This window comes from Homo sapiens, chromosome 7 (genome assembly GCF_000001405.40).
Source record: "Homo sapiens chromosome 7, GRCh38.p14 Primary Assembly".
In the NCBI taxonomy this organism is placed as follows: Eukaryota; Metazoa; Chordata; class Mammalia; order Primates; family Hominidae; genus Homo; species Homo sapiens.
The window spans coordinates 76348010-76360525 of NC_000007.14; the positions used below are offsets into that span (position 1 = coordinate 76348010).

Sequence of the window (12516 nt, forward strand, 5' to 3'; positions counted from 1 at the left end):
CATCTTTCAACTGTCCTAAAGGAAATGAGTTCTTCTGTATTTAAACCTAGATGACACGCCACCACCTCAAGGTTAACCAATGGAAAAATTATTAAATATGCAGCAGTTTAAAAGGATTTTCCATGCATCTGCAAGCAATGGAACATATGCTAAAATTAATTGAAAGAGATCAATTGAAACAACAGCTGGTATCCACTTTACCCATGACCCCTTTTCTAGAAAAAACAAAAACTTAAAACAAGAGCCTTAGACTTCGTTTTTTTTTTTTTTTTTTGGAGATAGCGTGTCGCCCAGGCTAGAGTGCAGTGGCACAATCTCAGCTCACTGTAGCCTGTCTCCCTGGTTCTAGTGATTCTCATGCCTCAGCCTCCAAGCAGCTGGGACTATAGGCGCACGCCACCATGCCCGCTAATTTTTTTTTTTTTTTTTTTTGAGACAGTCTCACTCTGTTGCCCAGGCTGGAGTGCAGTGCAAGCTGCGCCACCCCGGGTTCACGCCATTCTCCTGCCTCAGCCTCCCGAGTAGCTGGGGCTACAGGTGACCGCCACCACGCCCGACTAATTTTTTTGTATTTTTAGTAGAGACGGGGTTTCACCGTGTTTGCCAGGATGGTCTTGATCTCCTAACCTCGTGATGCACCCACCTCAGCCTCCCAAAGTGCTGGGATTACAGGTGTGAGCCACCGCGCCCGGCCTAATTTTTGTATTTTCTGTAGAGACAGGGCTTCACCATGTTGGCCAGGCTGGTCTCAAACTCCTGACCTCAGGTGACCCGCCCGCCTCCACCTCCCAGAGTGCTGGGAATACAGGCGTGAGTCAGCCAGCCTCCCAAAGTGCTGGGATTACAAACCATGAGCCTTAGACTTTGAAAAAAAAAATTTTAAGGCAAATTAAACATTTCCACCTTTAAAATCAGAAGATTATCACTTTATAAAACTGTTGTGAAATTAAATGGGAAAAGTACATAAAAATGCTTCCCAAGGTGACAGTAAACGTCAAACTATATTACAATATTTCATCTAAGTGTGTAATTTAAAAAATCTCGTCTTCCCGGCCGGGTGTGGTGGCTCATGCCTGTAATCCCAGCACTTTGGGAGGCCGAGGTAGGTGGATCACGAGGTCAGAAGATTGAGACCATCCTGGCTAACACGGTGAAACCTCATCTCTACTAAAAATACAAAAAGTTAGCCGGGCGTGGTGGTGGGCGCCTGTAGTCCCAGCTACTCGGGAGGCTGAGGCAGAATGGCGTGAATCTGGGAGGCAGAGCTTGCAGTGAGCTGAGATCGCGCCACTGCACTCCAGCCTGGGCGACAGAGCAGACTCTGTCTCAAAAAAAAAAAAAAAAATACCAAAAAGTACCGTTAAGTTTTCCATTGCGGTCCAGACGCGTTTTGGTCATCATTTATTAATACACACACACACACACACACACACAGACACACACACACACACACACACAGCCAGATGATGAAAAGAGAAAACCAAGATCAAAATGCAACAGGGTACCAAAAAATGAAAGTAACAGGTAGTTGTAATTCACTCAGCAAGTGTTTTTGAGAATCTACATGCCACAGCTCCAAATAATGTTGGTAGAAATACATTCTATGTAAGTTGTAAAAATTTAATCTGTTAATGATAGCTTTGTTTGAAGTTGTGCCATATTGTTTGCCCTTCCTCAATAAATAGATCAAGTTCCAAACATCTGAAGTCTTTTTCTACATGGCCAGCAAACGATGAAAAACAAAAACATGCCTGCAGGTGGATCACTTGAGGTCAGGAGTTCGAGATCAGCCTGGCTAACATGGTGAAACCTGGTCTCTATTAAAAATGCAAAAATTAGCCAGGCGTGGTGGTGGGCACCTGTAATCCCAGCTACTGGGGAGGCTGAGGTAGGAGAATTGCTTGAATCCAGGAGGGGGAGGTTGCAGTGAGTTGAGATTGCACCACTGTACCCCAGCCTGGGCAACAGAGCAAGACTGTCTCCAAAAAGCCATCTTCCAAATTGGTAAATAATCCCCGAGGAGGCCAGAAGAGTAAGAAAATACAGATAAAAGACCGATGTGCTGAAAAATGGTGAAGCTGGGTGTACGGGGGTTACTGTACTATTTGTCTTTATTTTGTATGTTTGAAAGTTTCCATTAGTCAAAGGGAAAAAAAAGGCAATCACTCCAAAGAAGCATAAGGGAGATGGGCCCTTGCCTCAAATAAGCTGGCATCGAGCCTACCCCTGCTTCAACCTCATTTTCCTTCCTAGAGGACAAAGGGCAATGGGTGCCTTTTGAATTCTGAAACATGTATACATAATACCTATTCAAACACATCTTTCAAAACTTTCAAGGTCCTGTACTAGTGAGGACCTTAAACATTATTCTTAGCTGGTTTTCCAGCAATTCCCCTCTTGGGTCTGTCTTAACGTACGAATTGTGCCTGAAAGATACCAGATACTCCTCCATGTACAACTCATTTATGGGGACATGACCATCCTAAGTGGAGGAGCTTACTGAATGCCTACTGCTTTTGCACCATCATAAAGTTGAAAAATTGTCAGGTTAAGGTCAGGCGCAGTGGCTCATGCCTGTAACCCCAGCACTTCCAGAGGCCAAGGCGGGCACATCACCTGAGGCCAGGAGTTGGAGACCAGCCTGGCCAACATGGGGAAACCCCATTTCTACTAAAAATACAAAAATTAGCCGGGCGTGGTGGTACATGCCTGTAATCCCAGCTACTTGGGAAGCTGAGGCAGGAGAATCGCTGGAACTCAGGAGGCAGAGGTGGTAGTAAGCTGAGATCGCGCCACTGCACTCCACCCTGAGCAATAGAGCAAGACTGTCTCAAAAAAAAGAAAAGAGAAAAGAAAAATCGTTAAGTTAAACCATCTGAAATCAGGGACCATCTATACCCACACATCAATATTATTTACAATGTAAATTTGGAAACAGCCTGAATACTAAGCAAAAAAATAATTAAATTATGATATATCCACAGGATTATTCAGCTACTGAAAATAATGACAGAATATCATTGAAATGATGTCAAGTGAAAAAAGCAAGGTGCAAAAGAATATAAACTGTAGAAAAAGACACGATGGAAATATCCCTGCATGTGAATCATTATGGTGATTCTTCTTGTCATTTCCCCCCGAAATTTCTAGCATCCTGAAAGGCCACCAACATTTTTGTCTTCAGTAGTCAATCCCATTGTTCACAGCCTTCCAAAGACTACAGACTCCCTTAAATAGGCATGGCATTCCAAGATCCAAGATATTCTAGAATATTCCTTCCCTACTCCCTTGTCCCCACTAGCTTTCCTCGCCTTGGAATGCCCTTTTCTGTTGTTCGTATTCTCCTCTCCTGTTCATTCTTCTCGCCTTTCTGAGTAGGGTCTTTTCAACCTAGTAGGAAAAATAACTTCCAGTCTTAACCTCTATTACACAGATACAAGACCCAATGTGAAGGTTTGAAAATAATAACATCTATTCTCTATAGTAGGGGTCCCCAACGGGTCCATGGCCTGTCACGAACCTGGCTGCAGAGCAGGAAGTCTGTCACTCCCCACTGCTCGAATTACCACCTGAGCTCCGCCTCCTGTCAGATCAGCGGTGGCATTAGATTCTCAAAGGAGTGCCAACTCTACTGTGAACTGCACACAAAAGGGATGTAGGCTGCATGGTCCTTATGAGAATCTAATGCCTGATGATCTGTCACTGTCTCCCATCACCCCCAGACGGGACCATCTAATTGTAGAACAAGCTCAGGGCTCCCACTGATCCTACATTACGGTGAGTTGTATAATTATTACATTACATACTACAATGTAGCAATAATAAAGTGCACAATAAATGCAATGTGCTTGATTCATCCCCAAACCATCCCCTTACCCCTCACCCCACCCAGTCCATGGAAAAACTGTCTTCCATGAAACGGGTCCCTGGTGCCAAAAAGGTTGGGGACCACTGCTCTTTAGCCTACCCAGGCCAGGCGGGCCCTCACATTATAACATACTGCCAATGAGTATGGGGTTATCCGCATGGCTACTCACTATGCTGCACCTCCACTGCAAAGACATGCTCACTGCTTCATGTTAGATTGCTACAAAAGCAGTCTGTATAGAAACAGTCAAAAATTCAAGCTGATTTCTACATTCTTAAAGAACTAGCACCATAGGCATTTTGTTTCCCAGATCTGGGTTTTTTAAATATGGTAGCTTTAGAGTCATATGAGTAATTCCTTTCAGACAGCTCAAGAAATGTAAATCATCTCTACGGCTTCAAAAGAAACCTGGCTTTTTAAAGCCTTCCCCTCGCTCCCTTAGCCATTCCTCACTTCCCTGCCCACGGCAGCTGCTCTTCATACTCAGCTTGCGGCAGGTTGGGGGTGGATCAGTGACTCCTCTTCAGCTACTGTCATTACGTGTTCAGCTGGCCACTGCTGTCACTGTCATACTCCCAACTCGGACACCCCTGCTCAGAGGAAAGCTGGGTACCTGGGTCCCACTCACCAAAATGGGCTTTCTCTCTCCAAAGACAGGTACCCTTCCAAAGGTTAAGAAGCCCAAGAGTTTATTTGGAATAATTTTATTGTTTTAATGTTATGTTAAAAATCTAAATTATGTAAGAACACTCTCTTTCCTATTCACAACCAAAACTTTTTTTTTTTTTTAGAGACAGAGTCTCACACTGTCACCCAGGCTGGAGTGCAGTGGTATGACCTCAGCTCACTGCAACCTCTGCCTCTTGGGTTCAAGTGATTCTCCTACCTCAGCCTCTCTAGTAGCTGGGATTACAGGCATGCGCCACCATGCCCAGCTAATTTTTGTTATTTTTAGTACAGATGGGATTTCACCATGTTGAGCAGGCTGGTCTTGAACTCCTGACCTCAAGTGATCAACCCACCTCGACCTCCCAAAGTGCTGGGATTACAGGCGTGAGCCACTACATCCGGCCCATAACCAAAACTTAATGCCATGCAGCACATATTAGTAGTATTCAACTCAGGTAAAGAAAAGTCTATTTCTGTAGGACACACACTTAACAAGTGAAATGCTGGGAGCAATTTAACTAAGACTTCACCAGTTCTTTAAACAGAAAGAAAAGACTCATGCACATGGTCTTTTAAGATTTACAATTTTTATTTTTTCTACAAAATCATGGTAGCAAACCAATTATTTATAACTATTTACCTTAAAATTAAAGCTTTCTTTTGGGAATTTTTTTTCTTTTTTTCAAGATGGAGTCTTGCTCTGTCACCCAGGCTGGAGTGCAGTGGTGCAATCTCAACTCCCTGCAACCTCCACCTCCCAGGTTCAAGTAATTCTCCGGCCTCAGCCTCCCAAGTAGCTAGGATTACAGGTGCATGCCACCATGCCCAGCTAATTTTTTGTATTTTTAGTAGAGACAAGTTTCACCATGTTGGTCAGGCTGGTCTCCAACTCCTGACCTCATGGTCCACCTGCCTCAGCCTCCCAAAGTGCTGGGATTACAGGCGTGAGCCACCGTGCCTGACCCAGGGAATTTTTTAAATCAGTTTTCGTGTAACTAATTTTCTACCACTCAAATTCATAAATTCATTTAGCAAAATATCAAAATTTTCAAGATTTCTACAAATGACAATTTTAAGTAAAATAATATGTTTTGGTAGTTAATCAAAATGATAGCTGACACCTAAAATGGAATTTGGGGAAGATACAGAAAAATAATTCTGAGAGGAGAGGCCATAAGGCAGCTGGTATTGGTAGCCTTTGTAGAAAGGCAACATTTAGCTGCATTATAATTATAGACCGGGCTGGGTGTGGTGGCTCACACCTGTAATCCCAGTACTTTGGGAGGCCAAGATGGGCAGACTGCTTGAGTCCAGGAGCTCAAGACCAGCCTGGACAACATGGCAACACCCCGTTCCTACAAAAAACGGTACAAAAAAATAGCCAGGTGTGGTAGCATGCTCCTGTAGTCCCAACTACTTGGGTGGCTGGGGCTGGAGGGTCGCTTTAGCCTGTGAGGTGGAGGCTGCAGTGAGCCATGCTCCAGCCTGGGTGACAGAGTGAGACCTTGCCTCAAAAAAAAAAAAAACAAAAAACAAGCAATCAAACGCACACATAATTATAGACTGGAATATCTGGTAAAACACTAAGTAACTTTCAAAAGAAGGCAAAGAGAAGATAACGTTTTATATCATTTAAAAGTAGTATTTCCCTTTGACTACCGAGCATAGAAAGTGGTCCTTGAGGCTGGGCACGGTGGCTCACGCCTGTAATCCCAGCACTTTGGGAGGCTGAGGTGGGCAGATCACCTGAAGTCAGGAGTTCGAGCTCAGCCTGGCCAACATGGTGAAACCCTGTCTCTATCAAAACTACAAAAATTCACTGGGCGTGGTGGTGGGTGCCTGTAATCCCAGCTACTTGGGAGGCTGAGGCAGGAGAATCACTTGAACCTGGGAGGCAGAGGTTGCGGTGAGCCGAGATACCACACCACTGCCCACTGCACTCCAGCCTGGGTGACAGAGCAAGACTCCGTCTCAAAAAAATTAAAATAAAATACAATAAAATAAAATAAGGTTAGGACTGCTGATATTGGGAATGGGCAAAGAAGGGAAAAGTAACTACTTTTCCCATCCAGCTCCTGACAGCCACAATGTACTGAATGTCTTGTGCTGGCGTCCCATCAGTTAAGAGCCTCATGCTGCAGGAGCTCCCCAGTCTCAACCCTGCATCCTACTCATTAGGAAACCACTACCACACAGGCGGCAAATCACTGATAATAAAGCCAGCCTTAGGGCTGAAAACGAGTCACTAGAACACCAGCAAAATTTCCATAATCCCCAAAGAGTTAACGATTTGCTCAGATTTCAAGTAAATTGTTCTTATTTATTTGGGTGAACATTATACAGTGTTCAAGTTCCATAACTTTTTAAGTGGAAATACAGTACAAACGTAGCTAAAGCTAATTCCCTTTTTTCAGTTCAGACGCTTGGAAATGAAGACAAAGGGATAGACAATTATCGCTGGCTGTGAGCTGTTGTGGGCACTCCATTATCGACACATTCCTGAATAGGTGCTGAATTCCAGCCAGCTGTAGTCCAGACCGGCATCACTTTTTAAAAATAACCACTTTCTCTCTTCTTCAACATAGGTGATGGCTGCACAACACGGAATGTACCCAATGCCACTCAATTGCACTTGAAATCTGATGTGACTATGTGACAGTTATGTTACGCAACTTTTACCTCGATAAAAACACATCGTTTTCTCCACTCTTTTCAATAATTTAAAGATTGGCTTAATAAATAAGGCTTCCCTGAGTACAAGAGATGAAATCCTACTCTTAGGTTTGCAGTTAATCCAGGACTGCAATGAGGATGAACATTTAGCGCCATGTTGAATCTCAGTAGAATTCAAAAAACACATAGATTTCCAAAATAATCAGAAAAAGCACTTAATATCTGCTTCAGTTACTGGGAAGGCTAACACATGAAAGGCAAGCTGTATGATCTGTATTCTTTCCACGCCCAAGAAGAGAACAATTCAAGCCACATGACTTAGAATAATGGTTGGCAGAACTCCACCTCTGAAGAGTCTACAGAGGTACCATTACTCCATTAGTGATAATAGCTATTGATCTCCTGGAAGAGCCTGGGGGGGAGGGGGAATGGAATATTTAAGATAGAAAGAATTTGAAAGTCTATTGATCCCACTAGGAATATTTAGAAAAATTATGATAGCCTTTTGCCACCTTTGCCCTCCCACCCCTCATTGAGTTAAACTGCTTAACTCAGTAACTTCAACAAAATTAGTAACCCTGAACCTTTTCTCCCCAAGGCAAGTACCAGTAGCCTATTTAAAATATTAACTTCTCAAGAGACTAGTAAAAGTCAAAGGACAAGACAGTATTGTCTAATACGTAGGATACATCTAGGTGTTCACTCTCCTTCAATACAAGACTAAACATCTGTCTTAAAAGACCTAACATTCCTCTTTCCTTCTTTTCAAAATACTGCACAATACAGTACTTCTGTCCTGGTTACCCACAAAGAACTATCATTCTGCACAGATCCCAATAGTGTTAGCACTAGGATAATTTCATTAAACTCAAATAAATTTTAATCCCTTTATCAACAGGATGATTTCGGCCTTAAAAGAGAGCTCACTTGAGTGGTAAGATTGGTTTCTTTCTCTGCAGTTTCCAAATTCTCCACGATGACTTTTATAAACAGGAAGAAAATTTCTTAGGTAGTTGCCATTTTGGAACACCTACTACATTTCTTATTGAATCCGCACAACTTTTTCAAGTATTGTCCCATTTTACAGATGAGGAAAATGAGGGACAGAGCCTATTTCCTTAAAGTCACAGGAAACAGATTTGAAAAAAGGTTTTTATTTTACAAACTGTTCTTTCCTCTATACTGTGAAGGAGCAGAAGCACAAATCTAGTAAAAAACAAACTTCCCAAATCTCAACTTAAAAGGTTTTGGAACGGGTTTTCATTCCCTACTAGTAACTGAAAATGACTCAGTAGGAAGTCATCATTTTTTTAAGGTTTTTATTAAAACCTGCCAAATTAATTATCTGCAATAAACACAAGTATACATCCCATCTGTGCACTAGTGTCATAAACTATATTCTTGTTTAAAATTTCTTTTATTCCATAAATTATCGTTTAAAATTTCTACTTTTATTCCATCATTGCCCAGTATTTTAAATAAATGAGATGAATGTTTAAAAATATAAAAAAGCATCTTATAAACTTTTGTGAGAAAGCTAGCAATAGGGTGAACAAGGCCTAGCTAGAGGTCACAGATTTGCATGTCTAAGGGTAAATGATATCCTTATTTTTTGGACTAATTCTCATCTAGTGGAATATGAAGTGCTCGATTCCACCTGGCTTATCGGCTAATTTCTGCATTACCTTGGATAAATGCCATTTGCACACTCCCTACCAGCCCTTAGGTGCATTGCAGCCTCTGTGTCATTGTGTGTGACATCACTTGGTTGCTATGGATATAGGTGCGAGGTCACTCGCTTTCCTGTGGAACTAGAAATATGGAAAAGAAATATGGAAAAATTATAAGAGTCTAAATAACACGAACTGAAGATATTTCCAATACTGATACCTATTAGAAGTGCAACTTACATCATTTAAGCATTAAAACCTTGTAAGACAGCAACTGTGGCCACAGCAGTATTCCGAATTTCAGAATCAGTTCTCTTCAATAAGACAAAAACCTTTCTTTGTTAACATAGCTGCTTTAAATATAAAGGTATCAGCATTGTCCTCTTTTGAGAACCAGTAAATTTATTCAAGAATTGATCTGTAATATCAATAATGCTTCATTTAAAAGATGTAACACGCAAGGTACACTCCAGCATCCACTTCACAATGGAGATGAATTTGAAAATCTTTGTTACATAAGGCAGGAAATTAAATATTAAGATAGTGGGGGCCCGAAATCATTAGATTAATTTTCTACCTTTCATTTCATAATGCTCAATACTTCCCCCTCCTCTAATATCAAACTGGTTGACAGCCCATTAGATAAATGTGGTGTTACTGACAAAATGGTGCAATACAGGGATGAATCTGCAACCCAGACAAAATGCGACAACTGGCGATCGGTATTCTCTTTTCATCAGCATGAAGATGTACTCGCTTAAACAAAAAAAAGCCTCAGATGCATCTAACAACCAAAAATTTTTAAAAAGACTTTTTCCCCTTTAAAATAACTCCTCCCAGCCTCCACCCAGTCTAGGCTCTCTGCAATATGACAAATGCAGAATCTTCTGGAATGACTTGATACTGCCTCTCACCACGGCTTTGTTTGCACTATCAGATCAGACAGAATATTTTTTCCCCCAACTTATAGGAATTTCAACAGACGCGTGCCTGTATTCAAAAAAGAAACGGCATATGTCACACGAATCGAACCAGTCAGCTACATTCACCACCTTTTAATTTTACAGGCAATACCTACCCTTTTCAATACAAAAACATTAGGGAATAAAATGGAGATGACATGTTGAGAATGATCAATGAAAACGCTAGCGAGACAAACGTTCTCCCTTCCTAAAAGCCGGAGGACTTGCTTTGGGCGAATGGAGAAAGAAGAGCCTTTTGTTAAGAAAAACGTGAGCAAGGTGGTTTCGATTTTGCACCACGGAGCTCAGGTTTTCAAGAGACCCTATACAATGTTTCTGGGAAGATTCTCAGGGATGTGTCGGGACAGACAGTGGGGAAGATTCTGGGGGGGCTGGGGAGGTGGAAAACCGGGAGACCTGCTGAGTGAATGGGAAAGGCGCCGCCCAGACACCAGGGAGAGAAAGAGGAACCGCATCCATGCGGTCCCCCGCCCCCACGCCCAGGCTAGGAGGAGGGGGGAAGTGGGGCACAAAGGATGCGCACGCCTCCCCGCTCGGGTCCCCTGCACCCCTAGAGCCGCGGGGGCCGGAGACCCCGCTCCCAAGTCCAGCCCCGCGGGACCTCGCCCCGGCCCGCGCCCGCGCCGGGCCTGAATGGCAGCGCCGCGGGGCCACGGGGACTCCGAAAAGAGGCCGCGTCACAGCCCGGGTTCCCGTCGCCTCTCGGGACCCTCCCCAGCCCCCCTCAGTGAGCGAGACGGGGCGGTCAACCCGCCATCGCGACAGGGCGACGAAGCCCCGGGCCTTCCACGCCAAGGACCGCGTCTTCGGAGGGGCAGGGAGCGGCGGGGGAGGGGAGGAGACACTCACGTTCTTCATGGCCGCGGCCATGTCGTCGTAGCGCTCCGCCTGCTCGGCCAGCCGGGCTTTCTGCACCAGTTGCTCGCGGTCCACCATCTTCGCGGGGCTGGGTCTGGCCGGAGAAGGAGGAGGACACTGGGGCGGCCTGAAGGGCTTGGAGGGCGCGACTGGAGCCCAAGTGCCGGAGAGGACCGACCCACAGAGCGAGCAGCTGAGGCGGCGGCTGCGCGGAGGAGGCGGCTGGAGCTGCGACCGCGGGACCGGGCGCGAGGCGGCTGCGGCTGCTGTGCGTGCCACTGACGGACAACCCCCTGCGGCCCCGCCCACGCCGCATGACGAAGGCAGGCCCCGCCCACCCGTCCGCAAGCCCCGCCCATGCCCCGCCCGAGCCCGGCCGCGGCTAGAACTCCCCGCTCCCCAGCTGGGCTCACTGCGCGTCTTCCGGGCACCCCGTCCTTTCCCACTGCGCCCCCACTCTCCCCTTTTTTCACTTCACTCCCCAGTTCCCTCACCCCAGCTTCTCCAGTCGCCCCCTTACGCCTCCCCCTTGAGCCTCCCGCCCCGCCAGCCCTCGGACGCATGGGCCCCTGGGAGTTGTAGTGTAACCTGCAGTGCACTGAGGCGCTGAGGAGACCAAGGACAAAGGGGCGGTCAAGACTACAACTCCCAGCGGACATAGCGCGCAGGCGCAGGAGGACGGGGGGGGGTGCTTCGAATCCCGAGGCCGCTGGGGACCCCTGGCGGGGATCAGGGCTGCATCAGTCCCTGCGAGTGCTGATTCACCGCCCCGCCCCATATTCTCCGGGAAATTACGAGAGGAGGGGGCAGGGGCCTCAGTCCTAGACCCTGTTTCCGAGATCACGTAGCAGGTCGTGGTGGGGGAAGGACAGGAGGCGCGTCCATTGTAGATCCAGACTCTCAGTGTGGTGCCTGCCCGCGGGATGGCCGAATTAAGGGGCCAGACCCTGGGGACTGTCACCTCCACCCCCTACGAGCTTCCATTAAACCCCCCACCCCACCTTGAGGCTCTTGGGCCTGAATAGGTGAAAACATGGACGAACGACAAATACCGGCTGGCCACAGTGGTTGATTTCCAGAAAGGATGCAGCTGTCTGCTGGCTGACCCTGGAGAACCCCTTCTTCCTCTCCAGGGTGGAGTGCTAAAGATTGAGTTCAGCTACCAGGAGCCTACTCCACATCTAACTGGGCTGCGTCTAGGGCTTGGTTGTCCAGCCCTTCTCTCCCCTCCTAAGACATACATACCTACTGAGGTCACGCTGATATATTCTCGTTCATATTATTCCACATAGCTTGCAGATAGCATGGGTTTTTTTGCTTTGTTTTGCTTTTTTGTAGAGACGGGGGTCTAGCTTTGTTGCCCATGCTGGTCTCGAACTCCTGGGCTCAAGCGATCCTCACGCCTCGGCCTCCCAAGGTGCTGGGATTACAGATGTGAGCCACCATGCCTGCAGGCCTGATAGTTTTGACTGCACATTTTATTTACTTTATGTATTCAACAATTATCTATGAGAAGCTACTGTGTTCCAAGCCCTATTCTAAGCCACGAGGTACAGTAGTGAACAAAACAGACAAAAATCCCTGCCCAAGAAAATAGGTGAGATATGTACAGTATGCTAGAAGTCAGTAAGGAGTGAGTTTTGAGGTTGCAGTGAGCTGAGATTGCGCCACTGCACTCCAGTCTGGCGACAGAGCAAGACTCCGTTTCAAAAACAAATAATAAAATAAAAAGTTTTTTAAAGGCTGGGCACGGTGACTCACACCTGTAATCCCAGCACTTTGGGAGACCGAGGCG

General features: G+C 45.7%; 1 protein-coding gene across 1 annotated transcript in view, besides 6 other annotated features; it reads right to left on the reverse strand.

Annotated features, from left to right (window-relative positions):
• The window catches only part of YWHAG (tyrosine 3-monooxygenase/tryptophan 5-monooxygenase activation protein gamma), a 32193-nt gene extending 21211 nt beyond the window's left edge, over positions 1-10982 (reverse strand). Inside the window, exon 1 of the mRNA NM_012479.4 lies at positions 10713-10982. Coding sequence (NP_036611.2) covers positions 10713-10799 — 87 coding nt within the window. The 5' untranslated portion in view covers positions 10800-10982. The remainder of the gene's footprint in view (positions 1-10712) is intronic.
• Positions 4519-4757: a silencer, noted in NCBI's record as "fragment chr7:75981845-75982083 (GRCh37/hg19 assembly coordinates)". NCBI's record gives its function as "represses an EF-1alpha promoter that drives an FKBP-Casp9 reporter gene in an ReSE screen in HepG2 liver carcinoma cells and K562 erythroleukemia cells {active_cell/tissue: HepG2 | K562}" and the evidence as "EXISTENCE:reporter gene assay evidence [ECO:0000049][PMID:32094911]".
• Positions 10113-10303: a silencer, noted in NCBI's record as "fragment chr7:75987439-75987629 (GRCh37/hg19 assembly coordinates)". NCBI's record gives its function as "represses an EF-1alpha promoter that drives an FKBP-Casp9 reporter gene in an ReSE screen in K562 erythroleukemia cells {active_cell/tissue: K562}" and the evidence as "EXISTENCE:reporter gene assay evidence [ECO:0000049][PMID:32094911]".
• Positions 10387-10586: a silencer, noted in NCBI's record as "silent region_18312". NCBI's record gives its function as "represses an Ori minimal core promoter by ATAC-STARR-seq in GM12878 lymphoblastoid cells {active_cell/tissue: GM12878}" and the evidence as "EXISTENCE:reporter gene assay evidence [ECO:0000049][PMID:35858748]".
• Positions 10387-11316: a biological region, named in NCBI's record as "NANOG-H3K27ac-H3K4me1 hESC enhancer GRCh37_chr7:75987737-75988383".
• Positions 10411-11057: an enhancer, noted in NCBI's record as "NANOG-H3K27ac-H3K4me1 hESC enhancer chr7:75987737-75988383 (GRCh37/hg19 assembly coordinates)". NCBI's record gives its function as "activates a minimal SCP1, AML or CMV promoter by ChIP-STARR-seq in primed H9 embryonic stem cells {active_cell/tissue: H9 hESC(primed)}" and the evidence as "EXISTENCE:reporter gene assay evidence [ECO:0000049][PMID:30033119]".
• Positions 10907-11316: a silencer, noted in NCBI's record as "silent region_18313". NCBI's record gives its function as "represses an Ori minimal core promoter by ATAC-STARR-seq in GM12878 lymphoblastoid cells {active_cell/tissue: GM12878}" and the evidence as "EXISTENCE:reporter gene assay evidence [ECO:0000049][PMID:35858748]".